This window comes from Homo sapiens, chromosome 9 (assembly GCF_000001405.40).
Source record: "Homo sapiens chromosome 9, GRCh38.p14 Primary Assembly".
Classification (NCBI taxonomy): Eukaryota; Metazoa; Chordata; class Mammalia; order Primates; family Hominidae; genus Homo; species Homo sapiens.
In genome coordinates, this window is record NC_000009.12 from 93951627 (window position 1) to 93969634 (window position 18008).

Here is an 18008-nt window from a genome sequence, read left to right on the forward strand (position 1 = left end):
TTGTGTCATAAAATATTTTATTGGAAAAAAAGTCACCGTCTTCGCAAGAGGGGGTAGGGGCCCCAGCGACATCGGGGACCCGGCCTCCAGGCCGAGCCGACGGGTTGCCCCGGGGCAATCTCAGGCCGTTGTGGCCTGAGCCCAACCGCTGGGTCCCCGACGTCCAGAAGCGGGTGTGTGCCTGGAGGCTCCCCGGCCGGGAGGGCAGGCCCCAGACGGGGTGGGGGTGCAGGCGAGGAGCGGGGCGTGAATACGCGTGGAGCGCTCTGCGCCACGGAGCTCAGGGTAGAGACTGTAGCTTCCGCCGGGCTGGATGCGAGTCTCCCAGGTTAGAGCCCAGAAGCGCGCTGGGACCTGGGTCTGGCTTTTGGGTCTGTGTCCTTCCTCGTTTGGCCCCAATTGTCCGCATTCAAGATCATAATAAAAAGGCTTAGGAAGTAAACTTCTTGGACGCGGAAGGGCCGGCTCGCGGGTTTCCGCCGAGTGAGGGGGCTGCGGGTGGCGCGGGCATCCCAGGCCCCGCACCGTATACCGCCCTCAGTCCTCGCGGCTCCTGTCGCTGGGCTCGCCCGGCACCTCCGCCGGTTTCTCTGCATCCTTGGCGCGCTCCTGCTCAGTAAGCTGCTCGCTCGTTGGAATTGAGTTCTTCTTGGGCCGCCCCTTGGGCTTGGTGGGAGACTCCAGGCCGCCGCCCTGCAGCACCTGCACGGGGGACCGCCAGCACCTGGGTGAGCCAGCACGTGGACTGGGGACCCCCGAGGAGACTTGAACCCAGGTAGGACTAAGGAGTGCAGGGTCCATATGAGGAAATGGTGGGGAAATGTCCCGGGAAATGGCGGCCATTTGTCCAAATGCCGCCTGGGGAGCGGCCCGGCCTGGGGAGCATAAGACTGCCAGGAGGCCTGAAGGTGCCGCGGGAAAGGACGAAATGTTGGCTTACCCAAGGGGCAGAAAAAACTGAGAGGATTCCGGTGCGTACCAGGCACCGAGGGAATCGGGGGGTTGGGCAGAGTCTCAGTGGGGAGAAAGAGGAGAGCAGCTCTGCATGCACCGGGGCATGGCCCAGGAAGCTGAGGGGTGGGAAGCCACCAGGCACACTCACTATTTTCTTCCACTTCATCCTCCGATTCTGGTACCACGTCTTCACCTGCAACTGGCTCAGGCCCAGGGACTCAGCAAGATCTATTCTGGAAAGAGCAGGGCGCACCCTCAGCAAGGCAAGTGACCACACTCCCACAGCCCGCTGGCCCCAGCCTTGTACCGCCCTACCTGTCCGGCGTGGAAAGGTACTTCTGCTTCTCGAAGCGTTTCTCCAGGCCCATCAGCTGCAGCTCGGTGAACACAGTGCGGCTCCGACGCCCCTTCTTGGCTTTGGTGCCTGGCTCCCCAGGGCCTGCCGCCTCCAGCTTCCCGCGGAGCTGCAACTCGAGCGGCAGGTGTGGCGCACCCGCGGCGCCGGGCAGCCCGGGCCCTGCCGCCAGCAACGCAGAGCTCAGCCCTGAACAGCCCAGCGGCGCCAGTGGGAACTTGAACACCGCCGCCTGCTCGGCCTTCAGCACGGCTGCGAAGAAAGAGAATGAGGACCCGGGTGAGCTACGGCCGCGCTCCTCTGCCCCAGGGACTGCCGCACCACGTGCCGCGGGGGTGCTCGCGCTTGGCCAGTGCCTCCCAGCGCAAAACCTCCACGCCCTGCCGGTCGGCGCCGGTGGCGCAGATGGAGACCCTCCTCAACGTTGCCGTTCCCCAGATTTGGGAGGGAGTATCTCCTCGACCCTGTCCGTGTTCTGTCCTGGAGTTCCCCAGGCCTCAGCTGCCTCTGAGATCTCGGGGTTCCTGATGAACATGTTTGCAGCTGCGAGAAACTCGGAGTGTGTCTTGTCTTTCGGGGAAAGTAGAAACCAAAAAGAAAACGGCAGCTGGTCCTAAGAAGATGGCGTTTGCTCCAACCAAATCAGCCTTGCTGCGTTAGAAAAAGAACATGCACGGAGCGTGCACATTTGCTCTTCCGTGCGTGGCACAACAGCCATGCGGTGGCCAGGAGTCATCTGGGCCGGAGTTGGGTGCTTCCCGGAAATTCCAAAGTACCCTGAGAACCTGGAAATTATTGTTCACGTTTTCTATTTTCAGACGCTTCCCCATGCAGATGTTTCCATTTTCTTCAGTCCTAAAATGATTGTGTGCCCGCTTCAAACGAATTAGTAGCAACAGAGCAGATGGAGACGAAAGGTAGCCGAATGGCCGAGTCCCAGCTGGACTTAGAAGGAGCGCGCTGGCCCTGCCGTCTCCAGGCTAGGGAGCACCGACTAGGAGGTGGGGGGGTGCAGGGAAGGCGACTTGAAGGGCTGGGGTCCCGGCTACAGCGTAGGAGCCTCCCTTCCCCGACAGGCCTGTCACTGAGGTGCGAGTCCTAGCCTGGCTGGAGTCGGAAAGGGCAGGGCAAGGCGCAGGTAAATGTGGGGCAGAGGACCCGTAGGGAAAAGGTGGGAGATGGGAGGCAGGCCGACCCCAATGAGAGAAGCGAGGGAGGCCGACCGGCAGACGGTTGGAAAGCGAGATAGGGAAAGACAAGACGAGGGTGGAGTGCGATGGAGACAGCACCATCAGGGCAGAGCAGGCCCCGCCAAATTAGAAGAAAGGGCAGAAGCTGAAAAGGTCTGCGCAGGCCGTTCAAGCCCTGCAGAGGCCCAGCCGACCTGAAACCAGAAGGGACAGCCAGGCAGCTGCTCACAGTCAGGCCTCTGGCCCCAAGGCAAGGCCGAAGCAGGTCCGCACTGCGGCCAAGGCCGCGTTCCTCGCCCGCTGGAGCTCCCGGGGACTCCGGGCCGGCTTGGGCCCGCGTCAGCACCCAGCCCTCGGGAGCGCAGGCCTCCTCCCCAGAGGTCCGACTTCCCTGGGTTGGGCAGCCGCGGCCACTCCCGGCCATCCCTCTGCGGCGAAGCCCAGGCGCCCGTGGCCTGAGGTCGCTTCCACCCACGAGAGTCCGTAGCCTGGCAGTGCGCCTGCACTGGGGATGCTCACTCGGGGTCCCCGGGCTGGAGGCCGAAGGGAAGCAGTGAAGGAAAGAGCGAACACCCTCCCCGGGCGGCCCGCGGGCACGAGGCCTGGTTTCTGTGAGGCCTGGAGCTTGCACCCTCCGCCTCCCGCCTGGAGGGCTCCGAGAGACGGTCCCAGAACCTGCGCTCCCAGAGCAGCTTCCCGGGGCTGCTTCGATGCCGGAGGAGGCTCGGGGCGCCCCCGCGGTTCAGCTCGCTGTCTCCCGCCAAGCCCGGCCCGCGACCCCGCGGCCGCCACACGTACCCAGGTGGCTGTGGAAGGGCCGCGCCGCCAGCAGCGCCTGCACGCCGAACTTCAGCAGCTCGCCCGCCGCGGCAGCGGCGGCTGCGGGCGCGGCGCCCTTGGGCCCGGGTGGCTCCGTGAGGATCTCCTCAATCATGAAGCTGCGATAGCGGTGCGGCCGGTGGTCCGCGCAGCCCTCGGGCGGGCCGAAGCGCGCGGCGCCCGGCTCCCCCGGCCGCTGCATCGCGGCGCCCACTGCTGCGCCCGCGGTTTGGCGGCGGCGGCGGCGACGGCTTGGCTCCGGCGCGGGGCCCGCGCGGGGCTCTAGGCCGGCCCGCAGCTCGGGGCGGCGCGCGGGCGCCGGCTCATGCCCCCTCCCCCGCCGGCCGGCCGGGCGGAGGCGCAGGGCGCGGGCGGGGCGCGCGGGGCTCGGCCGGTCGAACCCGGGACTGCGCCCCCTCCCCACGCCGCCGCGCCTCTTGCCCGGCCAGCCCCGCGTCACCGCCCCGCCCCGCCCCGCCCCGCGCCGCCGCCCCCAACCCCTAGGCTGAGCCGGAGGGAGGGACCCAGAAGGGAGGGAGGCGGAAGGGAGGCCAAAAAGGAGGGGGCCACGTGAAAGAGGCCGGCCGACCGAGACCGAGGGAGACTGAGCGGAGCGCACGCCCTGGAAGGAGAGAGCCGGAGAGTTCGGGAGGCAAGACCCCCAGAGACGAGAGTCGGAGGGATCAAACGACACAGGTGAGAGAAGGGGCAGAGGCAGACGGCGTGGGCCAAACAAGATTCCAGACAGTGATGTGAGGGCACCAGAGACGCCACCGAGATGTGCGCAGAGAGACCAAAAGAGGCGTGAGAGCCAGCGGGCTGTGACGTGACGGAGGGCACAGAGGCAGGCGGGGCAGAGGAAGGGGGCGGTAAAGAAATGGGAACAGCTAGAAAACCGGCGGCTTGATCGGCTTTTAGGTAGCCCCGGAAAGGTCGGGAGGAGGAGGGGCAAAGGCCGCGCTCCTCAGCTGGGAAGGAGGTGGTCTCAAGCAGCCTCCAGTCCCGGGCTCAACACCGCCAACCCGGCAAGGGTGAGGCAGCGTTCAGGGATGCAAGGGGCAGAGCGGTAGCGGCACCTGTGCACCCCTCCCACCTCTGCCTCAGTTTACCATGTACGGCCTCATTTCTCTCCGGGCTGCCCTGAGAGAAAAATGTTCTCCAGCCGAGATTTGCTTGAATTGGAAATTCAAGTGATCCATGGACACATCCTCCTTGACAGCCCCCAGAAGACTGTAGGCTGGTTACATCCCCCTAGTTAGAAAAGGAAAAGGATTCGAGGAGAAGGGAAGGATGCAGCTTTGCCTTTTCCCAGCTTTGGGGCATCAAGAAACTGTTACTGGGCGGAGTTGGGGCCAGGGGGCCAGTGGGTGCTCTGAGAGTGTAAAGACCAAACTCTGGTGGGACCTGGCTCCATTGCGGAGCCTCAAAAGCTCCAACATGGTGGAGGAAGTTGGCAGTACCTTCTCTAGATCTTTCTTTCCATCCTTAGAAGAGTATAAGCCCAAGCCGTGGAGTGAACAACCCCAAAGCTACCCTACGCTGAACTCCTCTCTTTGGTCCTGCCACTACTGGTGAAACCACTGACCCTTTCTGGGCCTGTTTCCTTACCTGTCCTGAGGAGATGCTGACCTTTGGCTCCAGAGAGACTGTGAGAACTCAGTGAGGGGGTCCTGCACTCCGAGGGTCCTGCACCCTGGGAGCCCTTAGGTCTGTTTGGAGAGAAAACAGTTCCTCCAGGCAAGAGGGGAGAAGTGTCCCCAGGAGGTTGGGGGAGGAGCATCTGCCCTCCTCCTTCTCAGGAATCACAGGGCCTACCTCCTAGCCCCATCCACCATTGCCAGTCAGCGCCTGATGCACTGGGGGTGTCCTGGGCCACCCGGACTTCCTCTGTGAGCTCCATGTGGGGCCTCAGTCTTTACCTCAGGTAACTAGGGCTTACCACACCTACAGCCATGCCCCCCACCCAAGTTGAAGTCCTTTCTCCAGCTCCAGCTGCTGGTGGGGAGGCCTTCAGGCTGGCCCTCAGTCCCTGGCACCTGCCCCAGACTCGGGAGTGGGGGTGGGGGGCAGGTGGGGACTAGGAAGTGGCCCAGATCCTTTGTCTGTAGGGCCTGGAGTGAGGACAAAGACTACCTTACTCTGGTAAGATCCCAGTCCCAAGAGCCCACTGTCTCTCCTTCCCAGTTGTTGCATGACTTTCTGAACTCAGAGTTACCATTGGGACTGAAAGAAGGTGGCCTCAATGGCCGCCAGTTGCTTCGGACTCCCTCGGAGAGTGGTGCTGTGAGCCTACATGGTTCTTTGGAAAGGGTGGAGAGGGGCGCACTAAGAGCAACAGTATCCCACACTGAGCAGGCCTCCTCCTGAGAGACCAAGAGACCAGGAAGCTGGCCCTGTCGCTGTTGGCCAAGCAGCCACTGACATCCTACCTGGCAAATAGAAACAAGCCAGTGTCTCCTGGGAGGCTGGGGCAGCCCAGTCAGGCTCCCCCTATCAACGGGTAGACTCAGAGAACCCTCCCTAGATGAGTGCAATAGTATCACTCAATCCAACCATCTCCTTTTTCAGATGGGAAACTGAGGCCCAGCAAGAGGCAGCCCTGGTGCAGGGACTCCAGTGAGTAGGGCTGGTTTACTATTGCTTCTTGTACAGAGCCATATCAAGCTCCTTTTTCCGGCTTCCTCCCTCACCTCCCCCATCTTAGCAGGGCCCCTGCCCCTTCCTCACCCCCTGGCTTCTGCATCTCCCTAAGGGCATAGCCTAGTGGTGGTTTCTCCCCTGAGTAGGCCCAGCTAGCCTCTGTCCCATCCCCTGTTATTTGGGCCCTAACAGAAGCTACCCAAATTTGAACCATCTCTGCCCCATGCTCAAGACCTGAGGGTCTCACATCCTCAAAATGGGTCCCCAGATTCCAGATCCAAGGATTTGGGGATCACACTGTTCATCAGCTGTCACTAAACTTATTTTACTATGAGCCATCCCCCTGGGGTAGCTTCTTGGTCAGCTTGTGGGGAAGGGGGTCATTTTCAGGATGGAGGCCTCATCTCTAGATTTTGGGGAGTCAAAAGAGTAGTGCAGCCCAGCCCTCACCCCATTCCACAGGTGTGCACCCCCAGCTCCTTGGACTCTGGCCAGGACCATTTCCTGCAGCCCCAGGCCAGCCCTGCAGCATGAGCAGAGGGTGGCTTTGGGAATGAGGCCCTGAGGGCTGGAAGGAGAATGCCCAGCGCCTAGGGAACTTTGGGAGACCGCAGCTGGCTCCAGGGGCTGAGAGAGCCAGGGTCCTGCCCCCGGTCGCCCAAAACACCTCCCTTGTAGGTCTGTCCCTGATCCCCCGGCTCTTGATAGACACAGCCTCCCCGTCGCCCGACCCCAGGGCAAACCAGCAGATAAACCCCTTTTAGGCGAAAATTACACAAAAACGGCGGCGGCGGCGGGGCCTCCTCTGCTCAGGCACTGCCGCGTTGGCGGCCGAAAAAAGAGGGTCCCAGAGAAGGGGAACCCCCTCCCTGTCGAGGACACCGAGGCCCAGAGAGGGGAAGCCTCCTCCCCAGTGGGGTGCAGTCTGGGATTGCAGTCCCCACCCCAGGGGCGCAGCTGCCAGCCCAACGCCTGGGACACACCCCCTCCCGAGGCCTCTAGCCGCCGCCGCGAAAATCCCGGAAACCGTCCTGCTCGCGGCGGGCGCAGTGGAAAAGGTGACCTCAGCGCCCCGGGCCAGCCGCCCTCCCTAGCAGCCGGGCGGCGAGGGGCTCCGGGCGGCAGGGGTTCCTCGGCGCCGCCCGGTCGCTGGATGAGGGGCCCTCGGAGCGCAGAACCGGCCCCCTCCCCACCCATGTTCTGCCCCTCAGACCCTACAGCCCCTTTGGAGGCTGCGGGACAGGGAGGGGACCACCTCATTCCCACAACCGAATCCCCTAAGCATTCAGGTGTAGGTTCCAGAACCACCTCCCCTCCACCCACACCCTTCTCCTACTCCAGCGCCTCCCAGACGGGATTGTGAAATGGCTCCGCGTGCGAACGGGTCCAGGAGCCGTTCGTTGTACAGAGGAGGAAGCTAAGTCTGGAAGGAGCACTCGAGCAGGCTCAGCGGCCAGCAGCCAGCGGCAGGGGGATCGTGCATCGCTTGGAGGGCGCTGGGCTCTCCTCCATCCGCCTCAGCCGTGGGCAGTTTGTTTCCGCTCCCACTTGCAGCGGGTCTGCATCTTAATTGGCAAAACGAAGTTGGGGCCGCGGTGGAGCGGAGGCTTCTTCCAGAACGGTCAGCTCACCTCCGGATGCGGTCGTCCGAGCAGCCGCCTGCGGGGGGTCCCACGCCCTCTATCTAACAGGTTGACGTCCAGCCCCTAGGGGCCCAGGCGGCCCCGGGCCGCCCCACCTCGCGGCCTTCTGCTCCCCGCGCAGCCTTGCGCGCCCAGCCACCCAGCACACGGTCCGTCCCTGGGGACGCGTCGCGAGCGCCGGGAATGGAGCTCGTTTCCTCTTTTCTTTTTTCTTCTTCTTCTTTTTTTTTTTTAAACCTTTGGTTCTGATTGTCCTTGGCCCAGCAGGCTGTTGGTGGCGTTGGTGGTGCTGCTGGGACTGGGGCACCGGCCTTGGCCGCAGGTGTGCTGTGCCCGACAGAGGCCGCCTGGACCGCGCCCGGAACGCCCTGTCCGGGTGGGCTGCGGCGTTCGCCCTGCTTTTGCCCCGAGCCGAGACTGGCAACATCTTTTCTAGCTTCAAAACAGAAAATTTTGGAATTATAAAATTACCCCCTCCCCACGCTTACAGGTCATTATCTCCTGGAGACCACCAACTCGCTTTCTCTTTGGAGAAGCCAGTCTCTGTGACCCTTTCTTTCATGAAAATTTCGAACTCAAATGTGGGCATTCGTTTTGAGTCATTTCAAAGCCCTAGAAGCTCGGGGTCAAATTGTGTTTCGGGTGACAGCGCCTTTAGACACATCCCCCTCTCTTTCCAAGCTCCCCCTCTTGGAGCAATTTACAAATTTGTTCCTTTGGAATTCGCTACTTTATTTTTGTTTTGTAAGTTTTGTTGTTGATTTTTTTAATGTTTAATTTTCTATGGAAGTGTTAGTTTAAATACATCCAACAGCCCAGCGTGGTGGCAAGCGCCTGTAGTCCCAGCTTCTAGGCAGGTTGAGGTAGGGGGATTCCTTGAGCCCAACAGTTCGAGGCTGCAGTGAACAATGATTGCCCCACTGCACAAGCCTGGGCAACAGATCCAGACCCCGTCTCTTAACCAAAATAATAAATAAAAATAAAAGACAGATCCTTAGATAGGAAATAAATAACTCGCTCCTGTGACCCGGAGATGACCCGGTTCTTAGTGGTCCAGGAACCTGAGGCGATGCTCCTGGACTCGCGGAGCCGCCAGCCCGCCGCTCCCAGCCCTCCAGGCCCTGGACGGGTCCCGCCTCCATTTCACACCCACCGCTCGCCAGCCCCGGCGGCTCCCGCAGAGACCTTGCATCCGAGTCCAGTTACGCGAACCAGCGGCGCCTGAGGCCACACCCAGAGCCAGGAAGTAGCCGTCTGGGTGCCGGGGCTCTGTGGGCACGGCCGCGCTGCTGGGCGCGGACTGCAAGGCCGGGCGGGGATGGTGTTTGCGACCCGCACAGGCGCTCTCCCCCCGGCGAGTGTGGACCCTTCGAGAATGCTCCCTTGGCCCAGGACTGATCCCCACGAGCATACAGCTTCGGCCTTCCGAGGAGAGTCAGGGTCGGTGCGGACCGACTCCGCAGGCCCTCCCTTGCCCCATCTGGGCTGGTGCCAGGCCGCAGCTCGAGACCTGGTTTCCACCCCGGGCTCCCACAGAGCCCATGAAGCGCTGGTCACAGCCCCTGGAAGCTGCAGACCCGGCTTTTCGAGGAGCCTCCCCGACGTGCAGAGCCTGAGACCCCAGAGAGCGGCCGGCTCGTGCGGGCCAGAACGCGGCGAGGCGCCCGCGGAAACGACTCGGCTTTTCTTTCTTTTCCCCTTTTCTTTCTTTATTTGCTTTTTTTTTTCCTCTCTTCCCTTCTTCCACCCATTTCCCCCTCCTCTTTCTTTTGTTTTTTTTTAGTCCTCCCCCCACCCCTCTTCTTTCTTTTGTTGCTCGTTCACTCTCGCTCTTGTCTCCTCTTCTGCTCCCGCTCCCCCCACTTTCTGTTCCTTTTCATCAGAAGGACGGCCAAGCCACAGTCCCGTCCTCCTAATAAGAGAAGAGGCCTTCATGCTCGCGGTGTGCCCACCAGGTGCCAGACGCTCTGCAGATTTAATACGTTTAATAGGCACAGAGCTCTTGGAGGGTTCTATAGCCTGTGTAGGGGGTGGGGAATTCTTTCCAGCTTGGGCAGCCTGGGGAGCTAGGCCTGGGATTGGGGAAGGGGTCTGGGCCCTGGCCCCTTAGCCAGGTGAGGTGGACCACAGCATCTCCTCCAGAATGTCTCCTGGTGGCAGGGAGGCCAGGCCAGATCACATTGGCCTGCCCACATTCCAGCAGGGACTCACACTTGCATCTGTCCTTCCTGACACAGGACTCTACTGTGGCTACCAGTCCTGTCTTCACCTGCCACCTCCCCCCTCCACCACCTTGCCAGGACTGGAAGGGAGAGGGGGCTGGGTACTGCCTCCTCCAGCTGCACCTCCCACTGGGTGCTGCTCGGGAGGGGATGGAACAGGGGGCATGGTGCTTCTTTTACAGGCAAGAGTTCTGGGGTCTAGGTGGGGAAAAGGAGGCTACAGCCACACCACCCCTCAGATGCCAGGCAGGATCAGCCTCTGGTACCCTGGCTCCAGGCCAGCCCTCCTGCCTCCTGCTGGTTTGAACTGACTGAAGATGACACACGAAGAGGATGGGACAGGAGCTGGTGCCACCTCCACAGGCACTGGGCTTCCCTGGGCCCCCTCTCCCATGTCACATCTGTACTTTCTGCCTTGTTCCTGCCTCTTGGTGCCAGGAATGGGCTTACAAGCCCAGTTCCCAAATGGCCAAATTCCACATATTTGCAGATTGGCAAAGCACACAGGGGACCTCGAGATGAGCTGGACCCCTGGTTTGCAGACCTCTTCCTGCTACTGCCCTTGAGCAAGCCCATTTCCTGTCCAAGCCTCAGTTTTCCCAAATGAGAAAACAAGAGGGGGTTTTTAGGTGAATCTTTCTCCTTGCTAGTGTTAACAGCTTAGGTCATGGATTGAAAAACTTGTTCTGTAAAGGGCCATATAAGCAAATGTTTTAGACTTTGCAGGCCACATGGCCCTATTGTGGTGACTCAGCCCTGTCTTTGTAGTGTGAAAGTAGCCCTAGATAATGCATAAATGAGTGGGTATGGCTGTGTTCCAACCAACTTTATTTATAGATATGAAAACCTGAATTATATCTAATTTTCACATCGCAAAATATGATTCTTATTTTTTTTTCAACCACTTAAATATGTAAAAACCATTCTCAGTTTGCTGGCCAAACAAAAACAGGCAATGGGCCACAGTTTGCCAATTCTTGTGCAGTTTCAATTATTCTGATAGCACAAATATTGCACTTCCATATCAGACATGTTGCCTTATGTTAACATTTTTTTCTTTTAAATTCTTTTCTCCAGGAAAGCATCTATTAATTTAACAGTATTTGGGACTTAGGAACACAGAATCACCTGACTCATTTCCTACACCCATTTCTGAGTTCTCAACAATTTAAATGTTTCCCTTATTAATACTATACCCAGACACCGGATTGCACAACGTACAATCACCCTCTCAATCCTTGCAACAGCCTTTGGAGTAGAAATAGTTTACCCTGCCTTCCAGCTCCTTGCACACCCCTGGAGACAGGGCGCTCACTCCCTTCAGTGGCTGCCTAACGAACTGCTGAGAGCCCAGTGACGTAGGCTTGACGCCCCTTAAGGGCGAAGGCCACCCCCGGCGACAGTGCTTCTTCCCAACCAGCCATTCCCAACCCCTGGCAATTCCATCTAAATCCTCTCCAGCTGTTGAAATGTGGATGGACAGGGGGCGGTGGCTCTGATTTTCTGGGAGTTTCCCAAGCCTTGAGCCTTTGCAGCTGCCAAGTGACAAATCTTGCAGGGACTAGGCAAAGGGAAAGAATATGACAGAAAAAATAGAGATTATAAATGTGTTGCTTGCTAGAAGTGTTTCCAGGAAATCTTGCTCACAGGGAGGCCTTATCGCCCCGCCCCCGCATCTTCCTTGGTTCTTGCGCCCTCTGCTGGTCATATTGAGTCTTAACCATGCTCACTCGGAACCGTTCCACTTATAAAGGAAAACAAGACTGCATGATCTCACTTGTATGTGGAATCTAAAAAAGTTGACATCATAGAAATAGAGTGAAATGGTGGTTATTAGGGCCGGGATGTGAGGGAGAAATGAGAAGATGTCGGTCAAAGGGTACAAACTTTGAGTTATAAGATAAATTCTGGGGATCTACGTACAGCATGGTGACTATAGTTAACAATCACGTATTGTGTGCTTGAAGTGTGCCGAAAGGGTCGGTTTTCAGTGTTCTCACCAAAATGGTAACTATGTAAGGCGATAGATATGTTAATTAGCTTGATTGTGGTGATCATCACGGTATATACATATACCAAAACATCACATTGTACACATTGAATACATCCTTTTTTTTTTTTTTTTTTTTTTTTGAGACAGGGTCTGACTCTGTCACCTAGGCTGGAGCCCACTGGTGCCCTCTCAGCTCACTGCAACCTCCACCTCCTGCGCTCAAGCAATCCTCCCACCTCCTGGGCTCAAGCAATCTTCCCACCTCAACCTCCCTAGTATCTGGGACTGCAGGTACACACCATGCCCGGCTAATTTTTGTATTTTTGGTAGAAACAGGGTTTCACCATGTTGCCCAAGCTGTTCTCCAGAACTCCTGAGCTCAAGCAATCTACCTGCCTTGGCCTCCCAAAGTGCTGGAATTACAGGTATGAGCCACCATGCCCAGCCATATATACAATTTTTATTTGCCAATTATACTTCAGTAAAGCTGAGGGAAATTTTTTTTTTAAAAAAAGAAAAATAATCCAGTATTTACTTTCCCTCTCTATGTATCAAACACCTTGCTGGTTGCTGAAGATACAAAGAAAAAGGCATCTTATCTGCCCACGGGAAGTGCAGTTTAACCATGCAGAGACGTACAAATGTGCTCACAGCCAGTGGCAAAGACACAGCACGCAGAAGGTGGTGGACACAGCAGGAGGGAGCATGCCATGGAGCAGAGGCGTGCGGGAGGCCCTCAGTCCCGGGGGTGGGGAGCTTCCAGACATACACAGTGAGCTCATGGCTTCCACTGTGGGGTGTTGGTGTTGCGCTCAGCAGGCCAGACAGCACAGGTTGGATTTTAAATGTTTGGATACTTTTAGAGCCAGCTACTTCTGACCTTCAGGGACTTAAGAGGCTGAGCTCTGTGCCCCGTATTGAAGCCCATGGGGATGCTCTCTGGGCCTGCTACTGAAAAGGGATGTCTGTCTCTCAGTACAGTTGTGGGTTCCACTGCACTCCCCAACCTGGAAAAGCCCTAGTCAGTCTTCTAGAGAGCACACCCTCTGTGCAAGGCCTTGTGCCCCATGTTACATGATCTCATTTAAACTTATGTCTTCCACTGTAGGAGACTGGCAATTTTACCCTTAATTTACTAACAAGGAAACTGAGGCACAGAGGGGTGACCTCATTTGCCTGAGAGGTGGAGCTGGGATTGGAACCAGTGCTCCCTCCACAGTATCACAATGACCTTTTTGGGGTCCTTCACCTTCTGACTTAACCCCTACTTTCCCTCGCTGATTGCCACTGAGACAGACCTATAGCTCCAGCTGCCCAAAGGTCACCCGCACACCACGCTCACTGTGTCCAGATCTGGACTTACTGTTACCCACCTCATCCTGCTCTGAGTGGAGAAGATGGACTGGAGCAGCCATCCCCTGCAGACACAGCTCACTGACCAGGGAGTGCCCTGGGAGGCAGCCCTGTTCCTACCCAAGCACGAACAGCAGGCAAGGCATCTCCAGTCAAAGGGCAGGGCCCTGTGGACTCAGTTCTGGTCAGGACACCCATGGTACTGGGCTCCTTCCATAGGTTGGCCCTGTGCTGGTCCCAACCCCATCCCATTCTGGCTCAGTCTAGGAGAGCAGGACTGCCATTTACAGACTACGTAACTCCCAGGCGTGTCATTGACTGTGCTGAGAATAGCACTTCTTGATTGTGCAGTGTGCAACCCACACAACTGTTCCCAACAGTCCTGCCAATTATTTGTTTGCTTCTCTTCTCATCAAACCAAATGGGTAGAAAAGGTTGTTATCATTGTTTTGAGTTCTGCCTGCTCCTTCCCCAGATGATAAGCAACATATTGAAACAAGGGAAGAAAACATATCCTATCTGCATACTTGCTGTTAAAAATCCACCTTAATTTATAAGTCTACTGGCTTTCCATTTTATGTTTCTATTACAGATTAGAGCAAAATTCATCCATCAAAGTGTTTGTGGCCTACATAATCCATCCCTTTGAATATAGGGGGCCTATCAGTGTGATAGGATAGCATCACCCTGATGGTGCTACCTGATATGGCAAAAAGGATTTTGAGGTCCCTAACTGGTGGACTTTGAATTGATCGAAAGGGAGATTGTCCTGGGCCTGACTACCCCTTTAAGAGACAACCCCTTTAAGAGGGACTGGGGCCAGGCACAGTGGCTCGCGCCTGTAATCCCAGCACTTTGGGAGGCTGAGGCAGGCAGATCACCTTAGGTCAGGAGTTCGAGACCAGCCTGGTCAACATGGAGAAACCCCATCTCTACTAAAAATACAAAAATTAGTCGGGCGTGGTGGCGCATGCCTATAATCCCAGCTACTCGGGAGGCTGAGGCAGGAGAATGACTTGAACCCAAGAGGCAGAGGTTGCAGTTAGCTGAGATCACACCAGAGCACTCCGTCCCGGGCAACAGAGCAAGACTCTGTCTCAAAGAAAAAAAAAAGTGACTGAGGTCTTCCCTGAGGTCAGAGAAGTTCTGCCAGCCTTGAAGAAGCCAGTTGCATGTTGTGAGCGGCCGACAGAGGGCCCGCTTGGCCAGGACCCAGAGCAAGCAGGTAAACTCAGCCAACAGCCTGAATAAGCTCAGAAGTGGGTCTTCCTTAGCAGAGCTCCAGGTGAGACCGCAGCCTGACTGGCACCTTATTGCTGCCTTATGAGACCCTGAGCAGATCCTGACCCATGGAGGAGATAATAATATGAGATAATAGCAGTGTTTGCAGAGCTTTGCTGTGCTGCAGTAGCACCCAAGTTGAGCCAGGGAGGTGTGTGTGTTGGTGGGGAGCCTCATGTCTGCCACAGGAGAGAGACCACAGGAGGGCAGACATCCTGTTTGAATCTTCGCCCTCTCCCATCACCCAGGGGCAAACCTCGGAGTCCACCCCCGGCCAGTGACCCTGCCTGCAGAGGGACTGTGATGTCCTTCATCCCTACAATGCCCGCTGGTGCCTGAGGAAGCCCCTTTGGCAGGAGGCTGGCCACAGCATGGACAAGAGAACAAGGGGCCACATTCTGGCCAGCCCTGGTGTTGTGATGGCCTGCAGCCGCCACCTTGCTGTGATTAAGAAATAGCAGATCCTTGGCTCACACCTATAATCCTAGCACTTTGGGAGGCCGAGGCAGGTGGATCACCTGAGGTTAGGAGTTTGAGACTAGCCTGGCCAATATGGTGAAAGTCTGTCTCTACTAAAAATACAGAAATTAGCTGGGCCTGGTGGCGGGTGCCTTATTCCCAGCTACTTGGGAGGCTGAGGCAGGAGAATCGCTTGAACCAGGGAGGCAGAGGTTGCAGTGAGTCGAGATTGCGCCACTGCACTCCAGCCTGGGCAACAAGAGTGAGACTCTATCTCAAGAAAAAAAAAAAAGGAGCAGATCCGAGGAAGACGCTGCCCGGAGAGGGGAGGCCCCTCTCACCCAGGCAAGTCCCAGGGCAGAGGTGGTGGCCATCCTCTGCTGAGGCGGCAGAGCTGCCAGCAGTGGACGCAGACCAGGGAGCACGTCTGGTTCCTTTTTCTCCTACCCCTGGTTTCATTGTCCTGGGCTCCAAGATGCAGGACAGGGTGGCATGCAGAATTTGACTATGTTCTCAGACCCTAGTTCTGGTGGCTGGGGCCACCCTGCTCTGCGCCCACCACAGCCTCCACCCCACCCAGCCCCACTCTCAGGGCACAGGTGCTGCCCATAGGAGGTCACCCCTCCCTCTCCATGCCCTGCAGGACAAGTGCCTCTCAGCCTGCTGGATCCAGTGTGGGCTCTCAGGAGGCTCCTGGCACCAGCGCCGGCTGCGGCTGATGCCTGACACAGCCTGTGAGATGCCACGTTCTGCCAGCCAGGCCTGGGCTGGAGGAGCACCCTGACCACTACTCTACCCCTTCCTGTCCTCCCCTCGCTTCTCCCAGGTTAGGGGAAAGCAGGGATGTGTGCAGGTGAGGCCGACCCAGGCCTACCCCAAGGGCTTTGAGCTACACGGGCTGTCTCAGCTGATGTGAGCATGGCACTAATCAACAACACACCCCAGCAGGAGTCACTCCCTCCCCAGGCACTTTCTGTCTTTCCAATCATGCTAAGTCTTGAGTCTGAGTTTGGTGCCAGTGTGGTCTCACTGTGCTCACAGGCCCATCACTGCCTCACTGGACCAGTCAGGTCCCCCCGGCCAGCCGTGCCTGGGAGAGTGAAGGCACAACACTCTGCAATGGGATTCAGACCCCAGTTAACTACGTCCACAATTGCTAGGTGATGCTGAGCTTTTATTTTTATTTATTTACTTATTTTGTTTGTTTGTTTGTGTTTGTTTGTTTTTTCTGAGACGGAGTTTTGCTCTTGTCGCCCAGGCTGGAGTGCAGTGGAGCGATCTTGGTTCACTGCAACCTCTGCCTCCCAGGCTCAAGTGATTCTCCTGCCTCAGTCCCCCGAGTAGCTGGGATTACAGGCACCTGCCACCATGCCTGGCTAATTTTTTGTATTTCTAGTAGAGACAGGGTTTCACCATGTTGGCCAGGCTGGTCTCGAACTCCTGACCTCAGGTGATCCACCCGCCTGGTCCTCTCAAAGTGCTGGGATTACAGGCGTGAGCCACTGCACACAGCTTTTAAAACTAAGATCCAGATCACTTTTTTTTTTTTTTTTTTTTTTGAGACGGAGTCTCGCTCTGTCGCCCAGGCTGGAGTGCAGTGGCGCGATCTCGGCTCACTGCAAGCTCCGCCTCCCAGGTTCACGCCATTCTCCTGCCTCAGCCTCCCGAGTAGCTGGGACTACAGGCGCCCGCTACCACGCCCGGCTAATTTTTTGTATTTTTAGTAGAGACGGGGTTTCACCGTGTTAGCCAGGATGGTCTCGATCTCCTGACCTCGTGACCAGATCACTTTTAAACACATTTATTCAGTAAGAACAACATTGTCATTTAAAGAGAACAATCAGATAAAGGGAGCACCAGTTATGCATGAGGAAACAGCAAGAACATGAAGATGAAGGTGCAAGCGAGGTGGCACAGTGTCCGGTTCAAACCTTGTCCCGCTCAGTGACAGAGGCACATTCCTTCTGTGTGCCTCAGTTTCTCCCACTGAGAAACGAGGATACCACTAGCACTTGCGTCCTGGAGTTCTCGTGAGGCGAGGACCAGCTGATGCACATTCCTGCAGCCCCAGACCAGCCCAGGCCCCCAGCACATGCTGGTGAGTCATCTGCTAAATAAACTGAACGAATGAGGCGGGGGAGCCCTGCACCAGCACAGTGAATCCAGGCTGGCTACCACTGCCACCAGCTCGTCTTCCCTCCACCAAGCACTCGGGGCCCTGCCAGAGGTGGCCTGACAGCCGTTCCTTCAGGGGACTACGTGACCAGCGTCAGCCAGAGCTGCCCCAGCACCGAGACCCACAGCCTCAGCTTCCTTGATACTTGCTTTTCTTGTCCCTCCAATGGAGGACTCAGCTTCTATGGGAAGAAGTGATTGGCCCTGGCAGGGCTTTCCTCAGTCAGTGGAGTGAGAACGAATGAAGTGAATGAATGAAGCACCCAGGAAAGCTCTGATGCTGCTATGCGTGCTACCTTAATGCCCTTGATCTGAGCTAGGACAGTGTCTGCTGCGTGTCCTGCAAGCCACAGAGAGAGCCCTGGGCCTCCAGCAGAGGTCCACATAATCCGTCCTGTCTGAAGATGACCCCTGGGCAGAGGCCTCACCAAGAGGTGGGGACAGCAGCTGCGGCGGCCCATATGCCAAGGATACCATCCACAGTTGGAGCACATTCAGGGTCCACTTGCTTCCCTAACCAGCAGCAAAGTGAACCAGAGTCTCTTTGGCAGGAATCAGATGGCCGTGGCCACCGGGTGCGGCCTGACGTCTGGGGTGGGTGCGAGTTGGGGGCTCCCGAGGCCTGCGCCTTCTGGAGCATCCATGCAGCCCGGTGAGGGGTGAGGTGTGGGCTGGGGCTGGGGGAGGAGGCTGGTTGCTCTTTGTTTAATTAATTAGTTTAATTAATTAATATTAATTAGGTTAATTAGTTTGATTGATTAATTAGTTTAATCAATTAGCTTAATATTAATTAATTAGTTAGTTCTGTCCCTCTAGCAAACCCTGACTAATACAGATTTTCATACCAGGAGTGGTTCTAGAGGAACAGAATATTAAGGATGGGGTTATTTCGTTGGTTTTGGGGTTTCTGGAGTTGGCTGCTTA

General features: G+C 57.1%; 1 protein-coding gene and 2 long non-coding RNA genes across 4 annotated transcripts in view, besides 6 other annotated features; 2 read left to right on the plus strand and 1 right to left on the minus strand.

The window, feature by feature from the left end:
• On the minus strand, positions 1–3729 carry BARX1 (BARX homeobox 1). Its single transcript, NM_021570.4, has 4 exons — positions 3298–3729; positions 1270–1561; positions 1103–1187; positions 1–702 (listed from the first exon to the last, which is right to left on the minus strand). The coding sequence occupies exons 1-4, from the start codon at positions 3518–3520 to the stop codon at positions 538–540; spliced, it is 765 nt and encodes a 254-aa protein (NP_067545.3). The 5' UTR covers positions 3521–3729; the 3' UTR covers positions 1–537.
• Positions 1183–1747: an enhancer, noted in NCBI's record as "H3K4me1 hESC enhancer chr9:96715091-96715655 (GRCh37/hg19 assembly coordinates)". NCBI's record gives its function as "activates a minimal SCP1, AML or CMV promoter by ChIP-STARR-seq in primed H9 embryonic stem cells {active_cell/tissue: H9 hESC(primed)}" and the evidence as "EXISTENCE:reporter gene assay evidence [ECO:0000049][PMID:30033119]".
• Positions 1748–2311: an enhancer, noted in NCBI's record as "H3K4me1 hESC enhancer chr9:96715656-96716219 (GRCh37/hg19 assembly coordinates)". NCBI's record gives its function as "activates a minimal SCP1, AML or CMV promoter by ChIP-STARR-seq in primed H9 embryonic stem cells {active_cell/tissue: H9 hESC(primed)}" and the evidence as "EXISTENCE:reporter gene assay evidence [ECO:0000049][PMID:30033119]".
• Positions 3723–4254: an enhancer, noted in NCBI's record as "H3K4me1 hESC enhancer chr9:96717631-96718162 (GRCh37/hg19 assembly coordinates)". NCBI's record gives its function as "activates a minimal SCP1, AML or CMV promoter by ChIP-STARR-seq in primed H9 embryonic stem cells {active_cell/tissue: H9 hESC(primed)}" and the evidence as "EXISTENCE:reporter gene assay evidence [ECO:0000049][PMID:30033119]".
• Positions 3900–18008, plus strand: part of LOC124902216 (uncharacterized) — a 25129-nt gene continuing 11020 nt past the window's right edge. For both annotated transcript variants that reach the window (XR_007061671.1, XR_007061672.1), the window contains exon 1: positions 3900–4014. This is a non-coding gene — a long non-coding RNA (uncharacterized LOC124902216). The remainder of the gene's footprint in view (positions 4015–18008) is intronic.
• Positions 4208–6296, plus strand: BARX1-DT (BARX1 divergent transcript). The gene is made up of 2 exons (NR_144455.1): positions 4208–5242; positions 5887–6296. It is a non-coding gene; the product is annotated as a BARX1 divergent transcript (long non-coding RNA).
• Positions 4255–4785: an enhancer, noted in NCBI's record as "H3K4me1 hESC enhancer chr9:96718163-96718693 (GRCh37/hg19 assembly coordinates)". NCBI's record gives its function as "activates a minimal SCP1, AML or CMV promoter by ChIP-STARR-seq in naive H9 embryonic stem cells {active_cell/tissue: H9 hESC(naive)}" and the evidence as "EXISTENCE:reporter gene assay evidence [ECO:0000049][PMID:30033119]".
• Positions 14843–15012: an enhancer, noted in NCBI's record as "experimental_110021 CRE fragment used in MPRA reporter constructs". NCBI's record gives its function as "activates a minimal promoter by MPRAs in K562 erythroleukemia cells, with activity observed for the introgressed 9:96728836 variant allele {active_cell/tissue: K562}" and the evidence as "EXISTENCE:reporter gene assay evidence [ECO:0000049][PMID:34662402]".
• Positions 17081–17613: an enhancer, noted in NCBI's record as "H3K4me1 hESC enhancer chr9:96730989-96731521 (GRCh37/hg19 assembly coordinates)". NCBI's record gives its function as "activates a minimal SCP1, AML or CMV promoter by ChIP-STARR-seq in naive H9 embryonic stem cells {active_cell/tissue: H9 hESC(naive)}" and the evidence as "EXISTENCE:reporter gene assay evidence [ECO:0000049][PMID:30033119]".

Bases quoted from the DNA above. Each gene is read 5' to 3' on its own strand.
- BARX1 (NM_021570.4), bottom strand. From the start codon at position 3,520: ATGCAGCGGCCGGGGGAGCCGGGCGCCGCGCGCTTCGGCCCGCCCGAG. The intron at 1,562-3,297 runs GTACGTGTGGCG...CTTTCTTCGCAG, and splicing joins GCCCTTCCACAGCCACCTGG to CCGTGCTGAAGGCCGAGCAG. The intron at 703-1,102 runs GTGAGTGTGCCT...TCCCCCGTGCAG, and splicing joins GGATGAAGTGGAAGAAAATA to GTGCTGCAGGGCGGCGGCCT.